Source organism: Homo sapiens, chromosome 2 (genome assembly GCF_000001405.40).
Source record: "Homo sapiens chromosome 2, GRCh38.p14 Primary Assembly".
Taxonomy (NCBI): Eukaryota; Metazoa; Chordata; class Mammalia; order Primates; family Hominidae; genus Homo; species Homo sapiens.
Genome location: NC_000002.12, coordinates 197,558,517 through 197,585,062, shown reverse-complemented (window position 1 = coordinate 197,585,062; position 26,546 = coordinate 197,558,517). Strand labels below are relative to the sequence as shown.

At 42.1% G+C, this 26,546-nt stretch overlaps 1 protein-coding gene and 1 long non-coding RNA gene across 7 annotated transcripts in view, besides 1 other annotated feature; one reads left to right on the top strand and one right to left on the bottom strand.

Moving 5' to 3' along the window:
* Positions 1-16,839, top strand: part of RFTN2 (raftlin family member 2) — a 107,364-nt gene extending 90,525 nt beyond the window's left edge. For 4 of the 6 annotated variants that reach the window (XM_017003332.3, XM_011510598.4, NM_144629.3 and 1 more), the window contains one exon: positions 12,783-16,839. In XM_017003332.3, coding sequence (XP_016858821.1) covers positions 12,783-13,055 — 273 coding nt within the window. In that variant the 3' untranslated portion in view covers positions 13,056-16,839. The remainder of the gene's footprint in view (positions 1-12,782) is intronic. The other 2 variants (XM_011510597.4, XM_011510596.4) reach the window with 1 other exon arrangement.
* Positions 1,935-2,450: an enhancer, noted in NCBI's record as "NANOG hESC enhancer chr2:198447337-198447852 (GRCh37/hg19 assembly coordinates)". NCBI's record gives its function as "activates a minimal SCP1, AML or CMV promoter by ChIP-STARR-seq in naive and primed H9 embryonic stem cells {active_cell/tissue: H9 hESC(naive and primed)}" and the evidence as "EXISTENCE:reporter gene assay evidence [ECO:0000049][PMID:30033119]".
* LOC124907952 (uncharacterized) lies at positions 12,032-26,411 on the bottom strand. Its single transcript, XR_007087918.1, has 2 exons — positions 25,306-26,411; positions 12,032-13,081 (listed from the first exon to the last, which is right to left on the bottom strand). It is a non-coding gene; the product is annotated as an uncharacterized LOC124907952 (long non-coding RNA).
* Between the last annotated feature and the right edge of the window lie 135 nt (positions 26,412-26,546).

Genomic DNA, 26,546 nt, shown 5'->3' with positions numbered 1-26,546 from the left:
GCCTTATTCTGGAATGGTGAACCCAGTAGGGAGGATCCTGCAGGTGGACGGCAGTTGGGGTACTATAGATGACTAAGTAGGGTCCAGTCCATCAAGGTTGTAGAGTTTGAGGGGTCAGATTCTTAACAAGAACTGATCGTCCAGCTAGGGTGTCTTCATATAGCTGGTAATCTGGAGTAGGCAAGAGAAGATAAGCAGCCTGGCGAATTTCCTGTCTAGCCTGCTGGAGGACTGGAAGATAGTCACCTAGAGGACTGGTGTCTGGGATGAGGTTGGGGCTGAGCAAGAAAGTGCGTCCATGTAAAAGTTCAATGGACTGTACTCTGTAGCATCTCGAGGACACGTTCTGATTCTGAGAAGGGCAAGAGGTAGAAGTACTGTCCAGTCCTCATGTCTAAAACACCAAAAGCAATGGCAACAAAAGCCAAAATTGACAAATGGGATCTAATTAAACTAAAGAGCTTCTGCACAGCAAAAGAAACTACCATCAGAGTGAACAGGCAACCTACAGAGTGGGAGAAAATTTTTGCAATCTACTCATCTGACAAAGGGCTAATATCTAGAATCTACAATGAACTCAAACAAATTTACAAGAAAAAAACAACCCTATCAAAAAGTGGGCAAAGCATATGAACAGACACTTCTCAAAAGAAGACATTTATGCAGCCAAAAGACACATGAAAAAATGGCCATCAGAGAAATGCAGATCAAAACCACAATGAGATACCATCTCACACCAGTTAGAATGGCGATCATTAAAAAGTCAGGAAACAACAGGTGCTGGAGAGGATGTGGAGAAATAGGAACACTTTTAAACTGTTGGTGGGACTGTAAACTGGTTCAACCATTGTGGAAGACAGTGTGGCGATTCCTCAGGGATCCAGAACTAGAAATACCATTTGACCCAGCCATCCCATTACTGGGTATATACCCAAAGGATTATAAATCATGCTGCCATGAAGACACATGCACATGTATGTTTATCGCGGCACTATTCACAATAGCAAAGATGTGGAACCAACCCGAATGTCCATCAATGATAGACTGGATTAAGAAAATGTGGCACATATACACCATGGAATACTATGCGCCATAAAAAAGGATGATTTCATGTCCTTTGTAGGGACATGGATGAAGCTGGAAATCATCATTCTCAGTAAACTATCGCAGGGACAAAAAACCAAACACCACATGTTCTCACTCATAGTTTGGAATTGAACAATGAGAACACTTGGACTCAAGAAGGGGAACATCACACACCGGGGCCTGTCGTGGGGTGGGGGAGTGGGGAGGGATAGCATTAGGAGATATACCTAATGTAAACAATGAGTTAATGGGTGCAGCACACCAACATGGCACATGTATACATATGTAACAAACCTGCATGTTGTGCACATGTACCCTTGAACTTAAAGTATAATTAAAAAAAAAAAAAAAAGAAGTACTGTCCAGTCCTTTTTAAGTTGGAGGCTGAGCTTGGTGAAGTGTGTCTTTAAAAGACCATTAGTCCGTTCTACCTTTCCTGAAGACTGAGGATGGTAAAGGGTATGAAGGTTCCACTGAATACCAAGAGCCTGAGAAACTGCTGGGGTGATTTGACTAGAATGGCCGGTCCATTATCGGAATGTATAAAGGTGGAAAGGCCAAACTGAGGAATTACATCTGACAGAAGGGAAGAAATGACTGCAGTGGCCTTCTCAGACCCTGTGGGAAAGACCTCTACCCATCCAGTTCAAGTGTCTACCCAGACCAAGAGGTATTTTAGTTTCCTGACTCGGGGTATGTGAGTAAAGTCAATTTTCCAGTCCTGGACATGGGCTAATCCCCGAGCTTGATGTGTAGGGAAGTGAGGGAGCCTGAACAATCCCTGAGGGGTAGTAGAATAGCAGATAGAACACTGAGAAGTGATTTCCTTAAGGATAGATTTCCATGATGGAAAGGAAATGAGAGGTTCTAAGAGGCGGGCTAATGGCTTGTAACCTACATGGAAAAGGTTATGAAATGATGACAGAATAGAATGGACCTGTGAGGCTGGAAGGAGATATTTTCCTTGGTCTAAGAACCATTTGCCTTGTGTGGGAAGAGATTGATAGCTGAAAGATTCAGTGGGGGAGTAGGTGGGAGTGACCGATGAGAAGGAGAAAAACTGGCCGTGAGGGACAGAAATTGGAACACTAGCTGCTTCTTTAACTACCTTATCAGCATAAGCATAGCCCTGAGCGATGGGATTTGACACCTTTTGATGGCTCTTGCAGTGAATGACTCCAGCTTCCTTTGGAAGTAAATAGGCCTTGAGAAGAGGCCTATTTTATTAAAGAGGCATTAATGATGGAGGACCATTGTGTAGTGAAGAAACCTCTTTCTGCCCATATAACAGCATGGTGGTGTGGATATGCAAGGCATATTTAGAGTCAGTGTAAATATTGATGCATTGTCCCTTTGCAAGAGTGAGGGCTTGAGTGAAGGCAATGAGTTCAGCTTGCTGAGAGGTAGTGGAGGGGGGCAGAGTGGTAGCCTCAATGATAGATGTGGAAGATACTATAGCATAGCCTGCCTTTGCTGGTGAGTGGCAATTAGGCCTGGTAGAACTGCCATCGATAAACCAAGTGTGATCAGGGTGAGGAATAGGAAAGAAGGAAATATGGGGAAATGGAGTCAATGTCAGGTAGATCAGAGAGATACAGTTATGGGGGTCAGCTGTGGTATCCAGAATAATGTGGGAGGCCAGATTGAAGTCTGGGCCAGGAACAATGGTAATTGTGGGAGACTCAACAAAGAGTGAGTATAGCTGAAGGAGCTGCGGAGCAGAAAGTATATGTGTCAGATGTGAGGAAGAAAATAGATTTTGGAAGTTATGAGAACTGTAGAGAGTGAGTTGAGCATAGTTTGTGATTTTGAGGGCCTCTAAAAGTATTAGGGCAACAGCAACCACCACACAGAAACATGATGGCCAGCCTAAAACAGTAAGGTCAAGTTGTTTGGACAAAATGGCTACAGGACACCGTCCCGGTCCTTGTGTAAGAATTCCAACTGCACAGCCCTGCACTTTGGCTATGTGTAATGAAAAGGGTTGGGATGAGTCAGGGAGAGCTAGTGTGGGAGCAGTCTCTAAAGCTGTCTTCAAGGAATGGAAAGAGGAGTGGGGAAAGGATTTAGGATCTATGGGGTCAGCTAGGTTTCCTTTTGTGAGTTTATATAATGGTTTTGTTAGGATGGCAAAACCAGGTATCCAAAGGCGAAAGTATCCAACCATGCCCAGGAAGGAAAGGAGTTGTTGTTTTGTAGAAGGGGTTGGGGTTTGAGAGATCAGTTGGACATGATCGGCAGGGAGAGCACATGTGTTTTTATGAAGAATTATGCCGAGGTAGGTAACAGATGGAGAAGAAATTTGAGCTTTGGAAGGGGGTACCAGATATCCCTTGGAGAATAAATGTTGAAGAAGCAGGAGGGTGTCTTGTTGAGAAGATTTAAAGGAGGGGCTACAAAGTAGAAGGTCATCGATATATTGAATAAGGTGAGAAGTGGAGGGGTGGAAAGAAAGTAAATCATGAGAAAGAGCTTGGCTGAAGTAATGAGGGCTGTCCCTGAAGGCTTGCGGCAGTAGAGCCCAGGTAAGCTGCTGGGACTGATGGGTGTCAGGGTCAGTCCAGATAAAAGCAAACAGAGGCTGGGACAATGGGTGCAGGGGAATAGTGAAAAAAGCATCTTTAAGATCAAGAACAGAATAGTGAGTTGTGGAGGAAGGTATTGAGGACAAAAGAGTGTACAGGTTGGGCACCACAAGATGGATAGGCAAAACAATAAGGCACAGATCCTGAACTAACATATAAGACTTGTCCGGTTTTGGGACAGGTAAAATGGGGGAATTGTAAGGAGAGTTTATAGGTTTTAGAAGCCCATGCTGTAGCAGGTGAGCAATAACAGGCTTTAATCCCCTTAAAGCCTGTTGTGGGATGGGATAGTGGCATTGAGCAGGGTAAGGGTGATTAGGTTTTAATGGGATAGTAACAAGTGTGTGATTGGTTGCCAGGGAGGGAGTAGAGATGTCCCATACTTGTGGGTTAAGTTGGGGGGATGCGAGAGGAAGACACGAAGGAGGTTTTGGGTTGGGACGAAGGGCAGCAATGAGATGTGGCTGTGGTCCAGGAATAGTCAGGGAAGCAGATAATTTGGTTAAAATGTGTCAGCCTAATAAGGGAACTGGGCAGGTGGGGATAACTAAAAAAGAGTGCTTAAAAGAACGTTGTCCAAGTTGGCACCAGAATTGGGGAGTTTTAAGAGGTTTAGAAGTCTGGCCGTCAATACCCACAACAGTTATGGAGGCAAGGGAAACAGGCCCTTGAAAATAAGGCAATGTAGAGTGGGTAGCCTCCATATTGATTAAGAAGAGGATGGATTTAATTTCCACTGTAAGAGTTACCTAAAGCGTCTGTGATGGTCCAGGAGGCTTCCAAGGTGATCAGGCAGCATCAGCCTTCAGCCTTTAAGCTGAGAAGATCTGGGAAGAAGTCAGTCAGAGAGCCTTGGGCCAGAGTTCCAGGGGCTCTGGGAGTGGCTGCCAGGTGACTTGGACAGTCCGATTTCCAGTGGGGTCCTGCACAGATGGGATATGGCTTAGGAGGAATCCCAGGCTGCGGGCATTCCTTGGCCCAGTGGCCAGATTAGCCAGCACTTGAAGCAAGATCCTGGGGGAAGAGGTCCTGAAGGAATGCCTGACCACTGTGGCTTAGGAGTTTTGAAATTCCTGTGTGCTGGAGATGTGGCTGGGGTTTCTCTCACAGCAGAGGCAAGTAATTGCAACTCTTCTCTGTTATTGTACACCTTGAAGGCGAGGTTAATAAAGTTCTGTTGTGGGGTTTGAGGACCAGAATTTAATTTGGGGGGCTTTTTTTTAATGTCGGGAGCGGATCGGGTAATAAAATGCATATTGAGAATAATATGGCTTTTTGCCCCCTCTGGGTCTAGGGCGGTAAAGCATCTAAGGGTTGTTGCCAAGTGGGCCATGAACTGGGCTGGGTTTTTTAATTTGATGAAAAAGAGCCTAAACGCTAATTGATTTGGGAGAGGTCGGATAAAGAAAAAGGAGCATTAACCTTGACTACGCCTTTAGCTCCAGCCACCTCTTTAAGAGGAAATTGTTGGGCAGGTAGGGGAGAGCTAGTCGTGGAACAAAACTGTAAGCCAGACCAGGTGTGAGGAGGGGCAGTGATAGAAGGATTATAGGGTTGGGGAGTGGAGGCTGAGGAAGAATTGGAGCCTGATTCAGCCTGGCAGGGAGCAACCTGAGGAGGAGCAGTCTGGGGAGGAAGGGAGAGGTCAGATGGGTCGGTAGAAGAGAAAGATTGAAAAGACTCAGTGATGCTTGGGGTTGGGACTGAGGGGACAGGTAGGAGGGAAAGAAGGAGGATTTGGGACAAGTCACATTGGGAACAGAGGCTAGGGAGGGACCGATGTGTAAAAGAATGCCTGGACGTCAGGCATCTCAGACCGTTTGCCCATTTCACGACAAGAATTATCTAGATCTTGTAGGACCGAAAAATTGAAAGTGCCATTTTCTGGCTATTTGGAACAATTGTTGAGTTTGCATTGAAGTCAAGTGGCATTGGAGAAGAAAATAAGGTGTTTAGGTTTTAGGTCAGGTGTGAGTTGAAGAGGTTTTAAGTTCTTGAGAACACAGGCTAAGGGAGAAGAAAGAGGAATGGAGGATGGAAGGTTGCCCATAGTGAAGGAGGCAAGCCCAGAGAAAAGAGAGGGTAGAGACATGGAGAGAAGGGGTCGGGGGCAATTGCCCCCCAGGCAAGGTGGTGCTTACCACCCAGGGAAAGTGGTACTTGCCACTAGGTGAAGGATCAAGGCAGGCATCCCTGTCATGATCAGACACCTCTGAAACGTGGGTGAATAATCAGACAGGTGTCTCTGCAGTGATTAAACACCAAGGGAAGACTGTCTTCCCGAGTCTGTGACCGGCGCCAGAGTTTTGTTTTCATGGATAAAATGTGTCTCCTCTATCTCTGCCAGAAAAGGAAAGGGCCTGACATTAAGAGAAGGGAGAGATTGAAGGGTGGCACCAAGATTGAAAGGAGAAAGAGGTTGAGGGATAGTGAGAGAGGTTGGAGAAGAGAGTAAAAGAGGCCGCTTACTTGATTTAAAATTGGTGAGATGTTCCTTGGGCTGGTTGGTCTGAGGACCCAAGGTTGTAGATGGATCTTTCTCATGGAGCAAAGAGCAGGAGGACAGGGGATTGATCTGCCAAGGGTGGTCCCCCAATCCGAATCACGGCACCAAATGTCATGCGCATCCGTGTGAAGAGACCACCAAACAGGCTTTGTGTGAGCAATAAAGCTTTTTAATCACCTGGGTGCAGGCGGGCTGAGTCCAAAAAGAGAGTCAGTGAAGGGAGATATGGGTGGTGCAGTTTTATAGGATTTGGGTAGGTAGTGGAAAATTACAGTCAAAGGGGGTTGTTCTCTGGCGGGCAGGGCTGGGGGTCACAAGGTGCTCAGTAGGGGAATTTCTGAGCCAGGAGAAGGAATTTCACAAGGTAATGTCATCAGTTAAGGCAGGAAATGGCCATTTTCACTTCTTTTGTGATTCTTCAGTTACTTTGGGCCATCTGGATGTATACATGCAGGCTTGGGCTCAGAGGCCTGACATAACAGTCACGTGGTAAAAAAAGAAAAAAAGTGTGTGTTGGTACAGAAGTCTTTTTAGAGGTGCAGTGCTAAGTATTTTTGCCATCTTTTAACATTTGAAATTTACATTTGGTGGCTGTTTACCTATTAATGCTTATTTTAAATTGAATTACTATGAATGTCTTATTATTCTGAAGAGCATCCCATTTTTATTAAGAAAATTCTTGTTAAGTGTGTGAGACTTGGCCTCTATTAGCTGATATATAAAGAGGAATTAATTGCAAAATTTACCTTTGGCCCTAGCGCTGGTGAGCAAGGCAAGACCCAGGAAGCCCCCAGGAACCCCCACCTTCCTATTTTGATTCTGTCAGTGTTGAGAGCATTGAGAGCATCATTCAAGAATGAATGCATTCTGGCTGGGCGCGGTGGCTCACGCCTGTAATCCCAGCACTTTGGGAGGCTGAGGCAGGCAGATCACTTAAGTCCAGGAGTTCAACACCAGCCTGGCCAACATGGCAAAATCCCATCTCTATAAAAAATAGAAAAATTACCCAGGCATGGTGGTGCTCCTGTAATCCCAGCTACTCTGGAGGCTGAGGCAGGAGAATTGCTTGAGCCCAGGAGGTAGTCAAGCAATTGTAAATAGTAATGACTCTGAAAAGTCGGGAGGTGGTCAGTGCAGTGAGTGGAGATTGTGCTACTGCACTCCAGCCTGGGTGACAGAGAGAAACTCTGTCTCAAAAAAAAGAGTAAATGCATTCATTGTGCATGTGGGAAAGATAGCCACTGGCCAGGCTTGAGAAAGGAGCGCAGTCTGGCAGTGTTCATCAGCCGTATCTGAAGCCAAAAGACTGTATCCTTGCTGACCAATGCCCCAGTGCAGGGAAGAAGGTGCCATTCTCAAATTTTGTACCTTTTCTGAGAGTAAATCTGTCAGGTTCCACCGCATATATTAATTTCAATAAATTTGGTGAATAGGAATAAACAGGAAAAGAACTGAAGAGCTGATATTTGCATTTGATGAATGCAAGGGTGCCAATGGAAAACGTGACAACCACCAAACTGTGTCTAACTTGGGGCCACGAAGGTGGGCCATTGTTGAGAAAGGACCTACTGTAGACTTTGTGAACCCCGAATATATGAGATAGGTCTCAGTTAATTTAGAAAGTTTATTTTGCCAAGGTTAAGGACACATTCCCATGACACAGCCTCAGGAAGTCCTGATGACATGTGCCCAAGGTTGTCAGAGCACAGTTTGGTTTTACACATTTTAGGGAGACATGAGACATCAATCAACATATGTAAGATGAACTTTGGTTCCATCCAGAAAGATGGGACTAAAAGCGGGACAACTCCAAATGAGCAGGGGTAGATAAGAGAAAAGTGGCTGCATTATTTTGAGTTTCCATTAGCTTCTCCAAAAGAGGCAATCAGATATCCATTTATCTCAGTGAGCAGAGGGGTAAATTTGAATAGAATGGGAGGCAGGTTTGCCCTAAGCCATTCTCAGCTTGACTTTTCCTTTTAGCTTGGTGATTTTGGGGCCCCAAGGGTTATTTTCCTTTCACAACTTTTTCCCTTAAACTTGCTCAACTCCGGTAACTTGGCCAAGAAAAAGATGAGCTGCCTCTGAGCTGCCAATAAACTCCTTTCTATGCAACCCGCTGGGGCTGCATCTTCCTGTACAAACAGTGTCATAAATGGTATTACATTCCACAGTAGCTCACAAAATCCCCTTTAATAAAGCTGTTTGTTTGCTTTGTATATTTGCTGTAAAAACCAGTAGAAAATACCCGGGTATTTTATGCACTGCATTTCAACAGATGAATCATTAACAAACTTCTGTAAGATCAGCCTGGGTATCTGATTTCTACAATTTATCTAAGAATTTTATAATTTTACCTCTTACATTTAGGAAAAATGCAACCCTACTTCCCAAATAACATATAAATGAATTTTCAGTAAATGAGCTCTTTGTAAACTGGGAAATTACTGTGATTTTTAAATGTATCTTTAAATCTATATTCAATTTTATGTGCCTAGGAGGATATGATCATATTCTCTAATATCTGCCATGTTATCAGTATTAAATAAGCTCTTAAAGGCCAGACACCACACCACTGACTCACAGTGGTACTGCCTCACACCAGTAATCCCAGCACTTTGGGAGGCAGAGGTGGGCAAAATGCTGAGGTCAGGAGTTCAAGACCAGCTGGCCAACATGTTGAAACCCCATCTCTACTAATAACACAAAAATTAGCTGGCAAGGTGGCGCATGCCTGGAGTCCCAGCTACTCAGGAGGCTGAGTCAGGAGAATTGCTGGAACCTGGGAGGCAGAAGCTACAGTGTGCTGGGATTGCACCACCGCACTCCAGCCTAGACAACAGAACAAGACTCTGTCTCAACAACAACAAAAAAAGGCTCCTATAATGAAATCTCATCAGGAGTCTGAACATCACAAGTTAAGCAGCTAATTCTCCTTGTTGTGCTTTCCCTTTTTTGACTTAGCTATCTTATTTTTTCATATATATATTATATATATTATATATAATATATAATATATAAATATATTATGTATATAAAATATATATAATATATTATATATAGAATATATATTATGTATATAAAATATATATAATATATTATATATAGAATATATATTATATATATAAAAAATATATTTTATATACATATATGACCTGAGGTCTCGCCATGTTGCCTAAGCTGGCCTTGAACTCCCAGGCCCAAGTAATCCTCCCATTTCAGCCTCCTGAGTAGCTGGGACTACAGGCTCATGCCACTTTGCCCAGCTAGATACCTTATTTTGACTTAAGTTGCCTGGGCAGAGACCATGTCCCCTTTATTCTGGACTGAACCAAGAGCATTCTCTGCCCTCAGTAAATATTTATTAGCAAAAACATCCACAGTTGATCAGAGAGTCTGAATGAGCTGGATTGAATTGTTGAGCATTTATACTGTGTAAGGCAGAAGCAGTTTGCAGCAGGACAAGGAAAGGGTCCACTTCACCCTTGAAGACATTCTAGACACTCGCTCAAAATAAACTCAGTCTGAATTATCCATGTAAACTAGTCTGTTCTCACGTTGCTAATAAAGACATACCCAAGACTGGGTAATTTTTAAAGGAAAGATGTTTAATTGACTCACAGTTCCACATGGTTAGGGAGGCCTCACAACCATGGCGGAAGGTGAATGAGGAGCAAAGTCATGTCTTACATGGCGGCAGGCAAGACAGCACATGCAGGGGAACACCCCTTTATAAAACCATCAGATCTAATGAGACTTATTCACTATTACAAGAACAGCATGGGAAAGACCCACCCCCATGATTCAATTACCTCCCACTGGGTCACTCCCACAACACTTGGGAATTATGGGAGCTACAATTCAAGATGAGATTTGGGTGAGGACACAGCCAAACTATATCATTCCACCCCAGCTCCTCCCAAATCTCATGTCCTCACATTTCAAAACCAATCATGCCTACCTAACAGTTCCCCAAAGTTGTTTTTTGTTTGTTTGTTTGTTTGTTTGTTTGTTTTTGAGATGGAGTCTTTCTCTTGTTGCCCAGGCTAGAGTGCATTGGTGTGATCTTGGCTCACTGCAACCTCCACCTCCCAGATTCAAGTGATCCTCCTGCTTCAGCCTCCCAAGTAGCTGGGATTACAGGCGTGTGCCACCACACTCTGATAATTTTTGTATTTTTAGTAGAGATGAGGTTTCACCATGTTGGTCAGGCTGGTCTCAAACTCCTGACCTCAAGTGTTCCTCCTGTCTCAGCCTCCCAAAGTGCTGGGATTACAGGTGTAAGCCACTGCACCCGGCCAAAAGTCTTAACTAATTTCAGCATTAACTCAAAAGTCCACAGTCCAAAGTCTCATCTGAGACAAGGCAAGTCCCTTCTGCCTATGACCCTGTAAAATCAAAAGCAGGTTAGTTACTTCCTAGATACAATGGGGGTACAGGCATTGGGTAAATACATCTATTCCAAGTGGGAGAAACTGGCCAAAATGATGGGGTTACAGGCCCCATACAAGTCCAAAATCAAGTGGGGCAATCAAATCTTAAAGCTCTAAAATTATCTCTTTTGACTCCCTAACATCCAGGTCACACTGATGCAAGAGATGGGTTCCCATGGCCTTGGGTAGCTTTGCCCCTGTGGCTTTGCAGGGTACAGCCCCCCTCCTGGCTGCTTTCATAGGCTGGCATTGAGTGTCTGCAGCTTTTCCAGGTGCACAGTGCAAGCTGTCAGTGGATCTACCATTCTGGGGTCTGCAAGACGGTGGCCCTCTTCTCACAGCTCCACTAGGCAGTGTCCCAGTAGGGACTCCATGTGGGAGTTTCCACCCCACAATTCCCTTCCACACTGCCCTAGCAAGGTTCTCCATTAGGGCTCCATCCCTGCAGCACACCTCTACCTGGACATCCAGGTGTTTCCTTACATCCTCTGAAATCTAGGCAGAGGTTCCCAAACCCCATTTCCTGACTTCTGTGTACCCACAGGCCCAAAACAACATGTGAGCCACCAAGGCTTGGGGCTTGCACCCTCTGAAGAAATAGCCTGAGCTCTACGTTGGCCCCATATAGCCATGGCTGGGATGCAGGGCAGCAAGTCCCAAAATTGCACAAAGCAGCAAGGCCCTAGGTCCGGCCCACAAAAACATTTTTTCCTCCTAGGCCTCCAGGCTTGTGATGGGAGGGGCTGCCATGAAATGCCCTGGAGACATTTTCTCCATTGCCTTGGCAATTAACATTTGGCTCCTTGTTACTTATGCAAATTTCTGCAGCCAGCTTAAATTTCTTCTCAGAAAATTGGTTTTTCTTTTCTATGGTATCATCAGTCTGCAAATGTAAACATAAGTTCCAATTCCAAACCATATCTTTGTGAATACCTAAAACTGAATGTTTTTAACAGTACCCAAATCACCTATTTAATGCTTTGCTGCTTAGAAATTTTTTCTGCCAGATGCCCTAAATCATCTCTCTCAAGTTCAAAGTTCCACATATCTTGAGGGCAAGGGCAAAATGCCACCAGTCTCTTTGCTAAAACATAGCAAGAGACACCTTTGCTCCAGTTCCCAACAAGTTCCTCATCTCCATCTGAAATCATCTCAACCTGGACTTCACTGTCCATATCACTATAAGCATTTCGATCAAAGCCATTCAATAAGTCTCTAGGAAGTTCCAAAGTTTCCCACATTTTCCTGTCCTCTTCTGAGCCCTTCAAACTGTTCCAACCTCTGCATGCTACCCAGTTCCAAAGTCGCTTCTACATTTTTGGGTATTTTTATAGCACCCCCCACCCCCGCCACTCTACTAGTACCAATTTACTGTATTAGTCTGTTCTCATCCTGCTAATAAAGACATACCCGAGACTGTGTAGTTTACAAAGGAAAGAGGTTTAATTGACTCACAGTTCCACGTAGGGAGGCCTCACAGTCATGGCAGAAGGCAAATGAGGAGCAAAGTCATGTCTCACATGGTGGCAGGCAAGAGAGAGCATGTGCAAGGGAACTCCCCTTTATAAAACCATCAGATCTCATGATACTTATTCATGGGATAAGACCCACCCCCATGATTTGACTACCTCCCACTGGGCCCCTCCCACAACACATGGGAAATATGGGAGTTACAATTCAAGATGAGATTTGGGTGGGGACACAGCCAAACCATATCACTGTGACTCTTCTGTGCAGCCTGTGTCTACATGACATGGGTGTAAGGTGGCCATCAAAGCACCTTTTCTGCTGTATAGATCTGAACTAACACTAAGAAGAAAAACATATTAGTATTTATACCTTGCTTTGTTCTCCCAAAGTATGATTTCAACAAATTTCCTTCCTTAGAGATGTCACTGAGGGCCGAGATGTGTACATAACATACCCATCAACAAGAATGATGTGCCAGGAACCTACAAAGAGTTACAAAACAGGGAGAAGGGAGTTCATTTGTATTTGGGTGGAGAGGGGAATGTGGAGGTAGCTCTGAGCTGGTCGTTGAAGATGAGCAGGATTTTGAAGAGCTGGGGAAAAGGACATTCCTGGAGGCAGAAAGGCAGCATGTGCTAGACCAGAGGGACAGGAAACACCCATCTTTTTAACTCTCCTGGTCACCAATGTCTTGTGTTTCAGAAGAAAGCCAGCCGCCACATAAAAGGTGAAGACAAGAATAAAGCCACTAGTAGAAGCATCGGATTAGACACAACCTCGTCACAACCTGCAGAGAGCAGACACCTGCCTGAGGAGTGCCGCCTTTCTCCCTCCCGGGAATGCTGGACAAAGGAGGGAAGGCTGGCACAGCACAACAGCTTCTCTGGGTTCAGCAGCAGTGACAACGTCCTCCGGGAATTAGACGACGGACAGTTTGATCAGGAAGATGGAGTGACTCAGGTCACTTGTATGTGAGCCATGAGGTGAAGCAAAGGAAGGCCCTGTAAATAATTGTTAAAATCATTGCCAACTGACCTTATTGTATTACTTTCTCTGCATTTATGTAATATTTTTGAATTTTTCCAGACCCAGCCTTTCCTCTAATCTATGTAAACTTTGGCACAACCTCCCAGACAAGGAAGAATAACCAACATATTTATACATTTAGAATCATGTTTACACTTCTCTCAACTAAAACATCTGGTTAAACAGATGTTCCATTCGGTTATTACACAATAATCTATTTCAGCTTCTCATGAATGTACAAAGTAGACTTTCTTACAATTCCTGGTAAGGAGACTGAATATCTCAATCAGTATTTTACCCAATTAGAGAGAGTTCTCAGGAAGTTACAGTCTTATTTAAGCTGAAAAATAACCTCTCTCTCTCTTTTTTTTTCTCTCTCTCTCATACACACACACAGCTAATTAGTGCAAATAAATATCTATTTCCCAAATATAATAATTAATCCACATTTTGTCTTTAACTATAGCATGTATATACAAAGCAAGCCCCTATGTGTTAAAATATTTTTTGAAAAAAATCTTTTTTATGTATCTTTGCTTTTAAAGGGTCATGTCACCAACCCTGTACTGATTCATTGTACATAAATGTTGTTGCTCCTAAAAGCCTAAAAATGCAGACAGCAAAGCAGCATCTCTTAAAATTCAATATGAAAAGAACCCATAATCTCAATACATAAATACCTTAGTAGAGAGTAAGATTTAATTTTTTTTTATTTTAAAGTCCAAATACTATGAAGAGGAAAAATATCAACTTCAATTTGAAACTGAAGTCTTTTACATCTGTCTAGATTTGAATTCTGCTTTTATTTTGACTTGTTAAATCCTGAAGAATGTTGAAACCTAGAATTTTCAATCTGGCAGGAGTAGAAAGATGCTCATAGCACACGCGATATGTATGATAACATATTTTGTTTCATCTTGCTTTTCTTTCCCCTTCTAATAGAGGTGGCTTTGCCTTGACCCAGCCTTTAACAATCTTTAAAATTCTACAAAATAAAGGATTTTCATTTATCTATGAAAGGCTTACTTTGAAAGATGGAACCTCCAAGTGAATTACAACTTATTCTATCATTGATGAATTCAGCCTATTATATATTTTTATTAACATTGATGTTGACATTGTAAGATCATTTTAATAATAAAACATCATTTTTATTGTGTTATTGTTTTATTGAACACAAATATTCATATAATATGTTTGGTTTGGGGGTTTTTTGTGGCTTTTTTTGAGACGGAGTCTCACTCTGTCACCCAGGCTGGAATGCAGTGGCACAGTCGCAGCTCACTGCAACCTCCACCTCCTGGCTTCAAGCGATTCTCCTGCCTCAGCCTCCAGATTAGCTGGAACTACAGCCAGTGTGCGCCACCACGCCCAGCTAATTTTTGTATTTTTAGTAGAGATGGGGTTTCACCATGTTGGCCAGGATGGTCTCGATCTCTTGACCTCATGATCTGCCTGCCTTGTCCTCCCAAAATGCTGGGATTACAGGCGTGAGCCACCATGCCTGGCCTTCATATAATATGTTTTATACATATAACAGATATGTATTACATGTTATCAATTATATAGTGTATCTAAACTAAGTCAATCTCCATTAATTGCTGATAAAATTAACAGGAATTATTCCACTTTTATCATCCAGAAGTACAGTATAAAGGAATTTAAGAATATTCTTCTCAGTCTTATTCTATAGCAATAGCTGTCAACAATATTTGCAGAAATGGTTTTTGTTTTGACTTTTAGATGGACTTGAGTTCCATAATCAAGAGTTAGTGGATTTTTGGTAGAAACAATCACTGCTTCAGGAGTCCATAAAACGTAATGAAGTTAGGAAGCACAAAGAACAAATCAGAAAGATCTGTTTTTCCCAATTCCAGGGTCTACAAGAGGTAGAGACTTCTTTATCATTCAGCCCACATACATAGGGGATTGGAAGTAGTAAATTAAAAACAGAGATAGGAATTTATATTTGACTAAGAAAAAACTCAGAAATATAGCAATAACTTTTTTTTTTTTTTTTTTTTTTTGAGACAGAGCCTCACTCTGTCACCCAGGCTGCAATCTCGGCTTACTGCAACCTCCGCCTCCCAGGTTCAAGTGACTCTCCTGCCTCAGCCTCCTGAGTAGCAGGGATTACAGGCCTGCACCACCATGCCTGGCTAAGTTTTGTAATTTTAGTAGAGATGGGGTTTCACCATGTTGGCCAGGCTGGTCTCGAACTCCTGGCCTCAAGCAATCCACCCACCTTGGCCTCCCAATGTGCTGGGATTACAGGTGTGAGCCACTGCACCCAGCCAAGCAATCGCTTTTTTAAAAAATTTGTGTAAGCATACTTTCTCAGTTTATTTTTTTCTCCCCTCCCGTTTATTTTTAATCTGAGTTATTTCTTATTAAAATAACTTTTATTAAAATAAACTTACTAGTCTGTCATATCCTCAAAACTTGTTTTAGAAGCATTTGCTCCAACAATTACCCTTAAGTTATGTGATGAATTTGTATGATAGCGAATAATTTATGATCAAGTGGTTCTAGAGTATTTTAAATGTGTGTAAATAGCTATGAGCCTATTATTTTAAAAAAAGAAAAAAACTTGGGCTCTCTATGCCTAAGGAGTTAAATATGTCTAATTTTATTATCTGCCAGTTGTATATTCAGTTCTTTTTATAACACTATGATTTCCTTAGGGGCTCTGGCATGTGAATTTTTAAAACCTGTAAGTTATAATGAAAGGTATCAAGATCCCAGATGTTGGGTGAAGATCTGCCATTCCCCTTGGTGTAGTATCTATGGCATTTTCATCTTCGTTTTCAATACCAAGTGTTAATTCCATCCCCTTTGGATTGTATACCACCTTGTTATCTTTTATGGACACATTTAACACCTACCTAATCACCAGGGAAATCAGCTCTATCAGTGTCATTACAATTCATTTCAGTAAAAGAGAAAAGGAAAGGTCACCCTCTTTGAGAGATTCTAGGGCTTTCAGGAGGAGGAGAAGCAGGAGACAGAGCTACAGTCTATTCAAATCACAACTATCTCCAAATCATTTGTGTTATCAGGAGCAGGTGTTTATATATTTGAATATAAATGTAACAGATGCATTTTCATTTCTTTCATTCTGGAGTGCCAGAGGAGCTGTCCCGTTTTCCCGCCCTTGCCTGTTATTGATTCCTCACCACCATTCCTTCTTGGCTGGAAGGACTGTGGCCCTTTCCCTCCCCATATGGCTAAAGAGGATTTCTTTCTCTTAACTCTTCAGAGCCCCAGAGTAGTACTGTATGGAAAGTGTAAATTCAGATGGAGAATCAAATGAAGTGAAATTGCTAACAATGGGGATAGTATATAACTAAGAACACATTATATAAAAATGTACTAGTGGATACATAGAAAAACTAGCTAAATGTTACTCATCAGAACTTGTAACATATCAATTTAAATAACATTTGCTGGTAATCTATCATCCCTTGAGAATGAATTTTATTTGTGTAATAGTGCAAAGTTTGCAGAACCAGGTCTGTCAGATATTTAAGTTCTGAGATGGTGTTTGAGGCAGAAAATTAGGCAAAACTGTAAAATGATGAGCCTCAGTTTTGATGAGGTTCATAAAGTTTTGGTGAAGACGACTGCAAAAGAAATGGGTTCTAAACATGTTTTGAGCATTCAAATTTTTGTATGTAAAAATACCAAGTAATTAAATCAATGGAATAAATGAATCATTTATGTGTAAGATAAATGTATAAGTATCAAGGTGAGTTTGTTGTTTGTTTGTTTGTTTTTGTTTGTTTGTTTGTTTGAGACAGAGTCACACCCTGTTGCCCAGGCTGGAGTGCAGTGGCATGATCTCGGCTCACTGCAGCCTCTGCCTCCTGGGTTCAAGAAAAATTCTCCCACCTCAGCCTCCCGAGTAGCTGGGACTACAGGTGCACACCACCACACCCAGCTAATTTTTCTATTTTTAGTCAAGTAGGGTTTCACCATGTTGGCCAGGCTGGTCTTGAACTCCTGGCCTCAAGTGATCCACCCACCTCGACCTCCCAAAGTGCTGGGATTACAGGTGTGGGTCACCACGCCCAGCCAAGGTGAGTTTTTGAAGGTTTATGTAAGCCACATTATTACCTGTAAGCAACAGAACTTAACTTGGCTTATTTAGCAATAAAGGAGTTTTTTGTTGTTTTTGTTTTTTGTGGGTTTTTGGTTTTTGTTATTTTTTGTTTTTTTGAGACAGTCTCACTCTGTCACCTAGGCTGGAGTGCAGTGGTGTTATCATAGCTCATTGCAGTATCAATCATCCTGGGCTCAAGCGATCCTCAGCCTCCCAAGTAGCTGGGACTACAGGCATATGCTACCACACCCAGCTAATTTTTGTATTTTTTATAGAGACAGGGTTTCACCATGTTGCCCAGGCTGGTCTTGAACTCCTGGGCTCAAGCAATCCCTCCCGCCTTGGCCTCCCAAAGTGCTGGGATTACAGGCATGAACCACCGAACCCAGCCCAATAAAGGAGTTTATTTCAAAAGATATCTGGAGGCCAGGCACAGTCACTCACACCTGTAATCTCAGCACTTTGGAAGGCTGAGGAGGAAGGATCACTTGAGGCCAGGAGTTCCAGACTTTTGTTCTACAAAAAATACAAAAATTAGCTGGGCATGGTGGCTGGTGCCTATGGTCCCAGCTACTCAGGAGGCTGAGGTGGGAGAATCACTTGAGCCCAGGAGGTGGAAGTTGCAGGGAGCCAAGACTGCACCACTGCACTCCAGCCTGGGCAACACAGTGAGACCCTGTGCCACCACCCACCCACCTCCAAAAAAATATCCGGAATTGGACTTCATCAAAATTTTAAATTTCCGGCCAGGCACAGTGGCTCACGCCTGTAATCTCAGCACTTTGGGAGGCCAAGGCGGGTGGATCACTTGAGGCCAGGAGTTCGAGACCAGTGTGGCCAACATTGCAAAACCCCATCTCTATTTTTTTTTTTTTTTTGAGACGGAGTCACACTCTGTCTCCCAGGCTGGAGTGCAGTGGCGCGATCTCGGCTCACTGCAACCTCCGCCTCCCGGGTTCAGGCCATTCTCCTGCCTCAGCCTCCCAAGTAGCTGGAACTACAGGCATGCGCCACCATGCCTGGCTAATTTTTTTTGTATTTTCGGTAGAGACGGGGTTTCACCATGTCAACCAGGATGTTCTCAATCTCCTGACTTCATGATCCGCCCGCCTCGGCCTCCCAAAGTGCTGGGATTACAGGCGTGAGCCACTGCGCCCAGCCCCATCTCTATTAAAAATGCAAAAATTAGCCAGACATGGTGGCATGTGCCTGTAGTCCCAGCTACTCAGGAGGCTGACGCAGGAGAATCACTTGAACCTGGGAAGCAGAGGTTGCGGTGAGCCGAGATTATGCCACTGCACTCCAGCATGGCAACAGAGCGAGAAACCATCTCAAAAAAAAAAAAAGGTCAAATTCACTCATAATAATATTAAACTTAAATGTAAATGGGCTAAATGCCCCAATTAAAAGACACAGACTGGCAAATTGGATAAACAGTTAAGACCCATCAGTGTGCTGTATTCAGGAGACCCATCTCACGTGCAGAGACACACATAGACTCAAAGGGACGGAGGAAGATCTACCAAGCAAATGGGAAACAAAAAAAAGCAGGGGTTGCAATCCTAGTCTCTGATAAAACAGACTTTAAACCAACAAAGATCAAAAAAGACGAAGAAGGAAATTACATAACAGTAAAGGGATCAATGCAACAAGAAGAGCTAACTATCCTAAATATACATGCACCCAACATAGGAGCACCCAGACTCATAAAGCAAGTCCTTAGAGACCTACAAAGAGACTTAGACTCCCACACAATAATAATGGGAGACTTTAACACCCCACTGTCAATATTAGACAGATCAACGAGACAGAATGTTAACAAGGATATCCAGGACTTAAACTCAGCTCTACACCAAGGAGACCTAATAGACATCTACAGAACTCTCCACCCCAAATCAACAGAATATACATTCTTCTCAGCACCACATCACACTTATTCCAAAACTGACCACATAGTTGGAAGTAAAACACTCCTCAGCAAATGTGAAAGAACAGAAATCACAACAAACTGTCTCTCAGACCACAGTTTAATCAAATTAGAACTCAGGATTAAGGAATCACTCAAAACCACACAACTATATGGAAACTGAACAACCTGCTCCTGAATCACTACTGGGTAAATAACAAAATGAAGGCAGAAATAAAGATGTTCTTTGAAACCAATGAGAACAAAGACACAACATACAAGAATCTCTGGGACACATTTAAAGCATTGTGTAGAGGGAAATTTATAGCACTAAATGCCCACAAGAGAAAGAAGGAAAGATCTAAAATTGACACCCTAACATCATAATTAAAAGAACTAGAGAAGCAAGATCAAACAAATTCAAAAGCTAGCAGAAGGCCAGAAATAACTAAGATTAGAGCAGAACTGAAGGAGATAGTGACACAAAAAAACCTTCAAAAAATCAATGAATCCAGGAGCAGGTTTTTTGAAAAGATCAACAAAATAGACTGCTAGCAAGACTAATAAAGAAGAAAAGAGAGAAGAATCAAATAGACACAATAAAAAATGATAAAGGGGATATCTCCAATAATCCCACAGAAATACAAACTACCATCAGAGAATACTATAAACACCTCCATGCAAATAAACTAGAAAATCTAGAAGAAATGGATAAATTCCTGGACACATACACCCTCCCAAGACTAAACCAGGAAGAAGTTGAATCCATGAATAGACCAATAACAGGCTCAGAAATTGAGGCAATAATTAATAGCCTACCAACCGAAAAAAGTCCAGGACCAGACAACTCACAGCCGAATTCTACCAGAGGTACAAAGAGGAGCTGATACTATTCCTTCTGAAACTATTCCAATCAATAGAAAAAGAGGGAATCCTCCCTAACTCATTTTATGGGGCCAGCATCATCCTGATACCAAAGCCTGGCAGAGACACAACAAAAAAAGAGAATTTTAGGCCAATATCCCTGATGAACATCGATGCAAAAATCCTCAATAAAATACTGGCAAACCAAATCCAGCAGCACACCAAAAAGCTTATCCACGAAGATCAAGTTGGCTTCATCCTGGGATGCAAGGCTGGTTCAGCATATGCAAATCAATAAACGTAATCCATCACATAAACAGAACAAAAACCACATGATTATCTCAATACATGCAGAAAAGACCTTAGACAAAATTCAACAGCTCTTCATTCTGAAAACTCTCAATAAACTAGGTATTGATGGGATGTATCTCAAAATAATAAGAGTTATTTATGACAAACACACAGCCAATATCATACTGAATGGGTAAAAACTGGAAGCATTTCATTTGAAAACTGGCACAAGACAGGGATGCCCTCTCTCAGCACTCCTATTCAACATAGTGTTGGAAGTTCTGGCCAGGGCAATCAGGCAGGAGAAAGAAATAAAGGGTATTCAATTAGGAAAAGAGGAAGTCAAATTGTCCCTGTTTGCAGATGACATGATTGTATATTTAGAAAATCCCATCATCTCAGCCCAAAATCTCCTTAAGCTGATAAGCAACTTCAGAAAAGTCTCAGGATACAAAATCAATGTGCAAAAATCACAAGCATTCCTATACACCAATAACAGACAAACAAAGAGCCAAATCATGAGTGAACTCCCATTCACAATTGCTACAAAGAGAATAAAATACCTAGGAATCCAACTTACACGGGATGGGAAGGACCTCTTCAAGGAGAACTACAAACCACTGCTCAACGAAATAAAAGAGTACACAAACAAATGGAAGAATATTCCATGCTCATGGATAGGAAGAATCAATACAGTGAAAATGGCCATACTGCCCAAGGTAATTTATAGATTCAATGCCATCCCCATCAAGCTACCAATGACTTGCTCCACAGAATCAGAAAAAACTACTTTAAATTTCATATGGAACCAAAAAAGAGTCTGCATTGCCAAGACAATCCTAAGCAAAAAGAACAAAGCTGGAGGCATCATGCTACCTGACTTCAACTATACTACAAGGCTACAGTAACCAAAACAGCATGGTACTGGTACCAAAACAGATATATAAACCAATGGAACAGAACAGAGCCCTCAGAAATAACACCACCCATCTACAACCATCTGATCTTTGACAAACCTGATGAAAACAAGAAATGGGAAAAAGATTCCCTATTTAATAAGTGGTGCTGGGAAAACTTGCTAGCCATATGTAGAATGCTGAAACTGGATCCCTTCCTTACACCTTATACAAAAATTAATTTAAGGTGGATTAAAGACTTAAATATTAGGCCTAAAACCATAAAAACCCTAGAAGAAAACCTACGCAATACCATTCAGGACATAGGCATGGGCAAGGACTTCATGACTAAAACACCAAAAGCAATGGCAACAAAAGCCAAAATTGACAAATGGGATCTAATTAAACTAAAGAGCTTCTGCACAGAAACTACCATCAGAGTGAACAGGCAACCTACAGAATGGGAGAAAATTTTTGTAATCTACCCATCTGACAAAGGGCTAATATCCAGAATCAACAAAGAACTTACAAATTTACAAGAAAAAAAATCAAACAATCCCATCAGAAAGTGGGCAAAGGATATGAACAGACACTTTTCAAAAGAAGACATTTATGCAGCCAACAGACACATGAAAAAATGTTCATCATCACTGGCCATCAGAGAAATGCAAATCAAAACCACAATGAGATACCATCTCACACCAGTTAGAATGGCAATCATTAAAAAGGCAGGAAACAACAGGTGCTGGAGGGGATGTGGAGAAACAGGGACGCTTTTACACTGTTGGTGAGAGTGTAAACTAGTTCAACCATTGTGGAAGACAGTGTGGCGATCTAGAACTAGAAATACCATTTGACCCAGTGATCCCATTACTGGGTATATACCCAAAGGATTATAAATCATGCTACTATAAAGACCCATGCACATGTATGTTTATTGCAGCACTATTCACAATAGCAAAGACTTGGAACCAACCCAAATGTCCATCAGTGATAGACTGGATTAAGAAAATGTGGCACATATACACCATGGAATACTATGCAGCCATAAAAAAGGATGAGTTCATGTCCTTTGTAGGGACAGGGATGAAGCTGGAAACCATCATTCCGAGCAAACTATCGCAAGGACAGAAAACCAAACACCACATGTTCTCACTCATAGGTGGGAATTGAACAATGAGAACACTTGGACACAGGGCAGGGAACATCACACCCCGGGGCCTGTTGTGGGGTGGGGGATGGGGGAGGGATAGCATTAGGAGATATACCTAATGTAAATAATGAATTAATGGGTGCAGGAAACCAACATGGCACATGTATACATATGTAACAAACCTGCATGTTGTGCACATGTACCCTAGAACTTAAAGTATAATTTTAAAAAAAGATTAAAACATAAATGAGTTAAATATGATTTTAAATCCAATATTAACACCTCAAAGGAGGCTCAGAACAAGGGAATATATTGTCTCTTAACTCAATTATATCAGATGCCTAAAAGGATAAAGCTATATGTTTACTGAGACCACTATTACTTATAAAACCTAACAAAAATACAAGCCTACAAACCTAACTAGCCTCACTCTAGGAGACATTCATACAGTATAATAAGATTAGACTAATTATTAATAATTAAGGCCAGGTGCAGTGGCTCATGCCTGCAATCCCAGCACTCGAGAGGCCGAGGCGGGAGGATCACTTGAGCTCAGGAGTTCCAGATCAGCCCGGCCAATATGGTGAAACCCCATCTTTACTAAAAATACAAAAAATTAGCCTGGCGTGGTGGCGTGTGCCTGTAGTCCCAGCTACTGAGGAGGCTGAGGTGGAGGTTGCAGTGCACTGAGACCATGCCACTCCTTCCAACCTGGGCAACAGAGCAAGACGCTGTCTCAAAATAAATAAATAATTAAACAAACAAACAAAAAAACTGTAAATTGTAAGACATTCCAAATTTCCTTAGAGTGAAATTAAAAACTTATAAAGATGCACTTATTCATAACGTACTCCTTTCCTTTCAAAGTCACAAACATCAAATTTCTTCTCCAGTAGTCTCAGTTCTAGCTTCTAGAAGGCTGTGCTGTTTACATAGCTGTTATCTAAAATTTGTTTTCTAATTTGATTCCAAGATGATGAATACAATCTTTAAAGTGCTTCATTTACAGGCTGGGTGTGGTGGTTCACGCCTGGAATCCCAGCACTTTGGGAGGCCGAAGCAGGTGGATCACCTGAGGTTGGGAGTTTGAGACCAGCCTGACCAACATGGATAAACCCCGTCTCTACTAAAAATACAAAAAATTAGCCAGGCGTGTTGGTGCACGCCTGTAATCCCAGCTACTCGGGAGGCTGAGGCAGGAGAATCACTTGAACCCAGCAGGCAGAAGTTGCAGTGAGCCGAGATCATGCCATTGCACTGCAGTCTGGGCAACAAGAGTGAAACTCCATCTCAAAAGCAACAACAAAAGAAGTGCTTCATTTACTTACCTGTCAAGACAGACGCAAATATATTACATTCATGAAATAGAATGGCACTGCACTAAGTTCACAATTTCTTGATTTAGTCACTCAACTGGATCTAGATTAACAGACTGAATTTTTGCTGGGTAATGATTTGAAATTTCGTATTTTATATTAAATCACTTGATGCATAAGAGAAGGACCAAGTGATAACAATTGCAATGTGCAATTCTGACTAAAGAAGCACATTTGGATCCAATTTAAGAAATCATCAGGTTGGCCAGGCACAGTGGCTCACACCTATAATCCCAGCACTTTGGGAGGTCGAGGTGGGCAGATCACAAGGTCAGGAGTTCAAGACCAACCTGACCAATATGGTGAAACCCTGTCTCTATTAAAAATACAAAAATTAGCCGGGTGTGGTGGTGGGTGCCTGTAGTCCCAGCTACTCGGGAGGCTGAGGCAGGAGAATCGCTTGAACCCAGGAGGCGGAGGTTGAAGTGGGCCAAGATCACGCCACTGCACTCCAGCCTGGGCGACAGAGAGAGACTCCATCTCAAAAAAAGAAAGAAGAAGAAATCATCAGGTTAAGGCCAGGTGTGGTGGCTCACTCTTGTAATCCCAGCTCTTTGGGAGGCCAAGGCAGGTGGATCACCTGAGGTCGCAAGTTCGAGACCAGGCTGACCAACATGGAGAAACCCAATCTCTACTAAAAATAAGCCAGGCATGGTGGCGCATGCCTGTAATCCCAGCTACTCAGGAGGCTGAGGCAGGAGAATCACTTGAACCCGGGAGATGGAGGTTGCGGTGAGCCAAGATGGCACCATTCATTGCACTCCAACCTGGGCAACAAGTGCGAAACTCCATCTCAAAAAAAAAAAAAAAAAAGAGAGAGAAATCATCGGGTTAGTGTAGGAATCCCTGGGAAAGAATGGGTACATTGTGAAGTTTCTGGCATACTTATAAATTAGCTAGTGAAAGCTAAAGGCAGATGGGATTTTAGCCAGTTGACGACTGGCCTATTTTCAATTTAGAATTGTAAACAGGAGAACGGGCTGTTTTATAATCAACCAAAATCACAGTAGTGATTAAGATATGCCCTGGGAGTAAATCAGGGGTTTTAGAAGTCCCCAAACATCCCTACTATTTAGTGTACCATATGCTGCTATACCGAATATTCTCGTCCATGAAAAGATTTCACGCAGCTCCCAAACTCTAACCTACTCCCACAACTCAGACAATGACTACAATGTTAAACTCTGGCCCCAAGAAGCACTTTTGGGTCTAACTAGAGAATCTCATCATTTACTGTTGGGATGGATTATAGGATCTGGCTAAAATGAAACTTAACTTCATATCCTAAATTTTCCAGTGATTTCCAGAACTAGCAGCGTATCAGAGTCACCTGGGAAACTTTAAAAACCCGGAATCAGGTCCTCCCATTCTCAAAGCAGTTTCCAAGGTGGAGTCCAAGAATCTGTAGTTTTAAACTCTCTCTTTTGTTTTTCGATGTACAAAAAGACTTGGAAAACATTCTTCCACCTCATTTACTTCCATCTCTCCTGAACTCTGTCTTTCATAAACTGGCAAGCAACATCGCTGAACCACATCAGCAATGTGGTTTTATGCATCAACTAAGAGATCACATTGTCCAGAAATAAATCCGTACATATGCAGTTAACTTACCTTCAACAAGGTTGCCAAGAATCCACAAAAGGGAAAAGGTAGTCTCTTCAATACATGGTGTTGGAAAAGCTGGATATCCATGTGCAAAAGATTGAAATCGGACTCTTTTCTTACACCATACACAAAAATCAACTAAAAATGGATTAAAGATTTAAAAGTAAGACTGAAAAGCATACAGTTCCTACAAGAAAACATAGGGGAAAACCTTCATGACATTGGTTGTGGCAATTTCATGCATATGACACCAAAATACAGGCAATAAAAACAAAAAACAAGTGGGATTATCTCAAACTAAAATGTTCCTGCACAAGCAAGGAAAAAATCAACAGTGAAAAAGGTAACCTAGGGAATGGGAGAAGATATTTGCAAACGTATCTCTAATAAGAGGTTAATCTCGAAAATATATAAGGAACTCCTACAACTAAATAGTAAAATAACTAACAGCCCAATTTAAAAATGGGCTAAAGACTTGAATAGACTTTTCTCCAAAGAAGACATACAAATAGCCAACAGGTATATGAAAAAATGTTCAATGTCTAGCCATCAGTGAATCAAAACCACAGTAAGGGCCGGGTGCGGTGGCTCATGCCTGTAATCCCAGCACTTTGTGGGGCCGAGGTGGGAGGATCACTTGAGCTCAGGAGTTTGACACCAGCCTGGGCAACATAGTGAGAACTTGTCTCTAACATTAAATTTAAAATAAAAAAAATTTAGGAAAGGAAAAAAATACAATAAGATATCACTTCACACTTGTCAGGATGGTTGTTATCAAAAACCAAAAGTTCTGTGAAGGATGTGGAGAAATTGGAACCCTTGGGTGCTGTTGGTGGGAATGCAAAGCCTCTGTGGAAAACAGAATGGAGGTTCCTCAGAAAATTATATAACTACCATATGCTCTAATAATCCCACTTCTGGGTATGCATACAAAAGAACTGAAGTCAGGATCTTGAAGACATATTAACACTCCTATATTCATATCAGACTATTCACAATAGCCAAGGTGTAGAAACAACATTTAAGTTGTTTGGCTTTATTCATCTGTCAATGAATAAAGAAATGTGATATATACATACAATATAATATTATTCAGCCTTTAAAAAAGGAAATTCTTTGTTGGGCATGGTGACTCACACCTGTAATGCCAGCACAGCACTCTGGGAGGCCAAGGTGGGAGGATCGCTTGAGACTAGCAGTCCAAGACCAGCCTGGGCAACATGGTGAGACCCCATCTTTACAAAAAA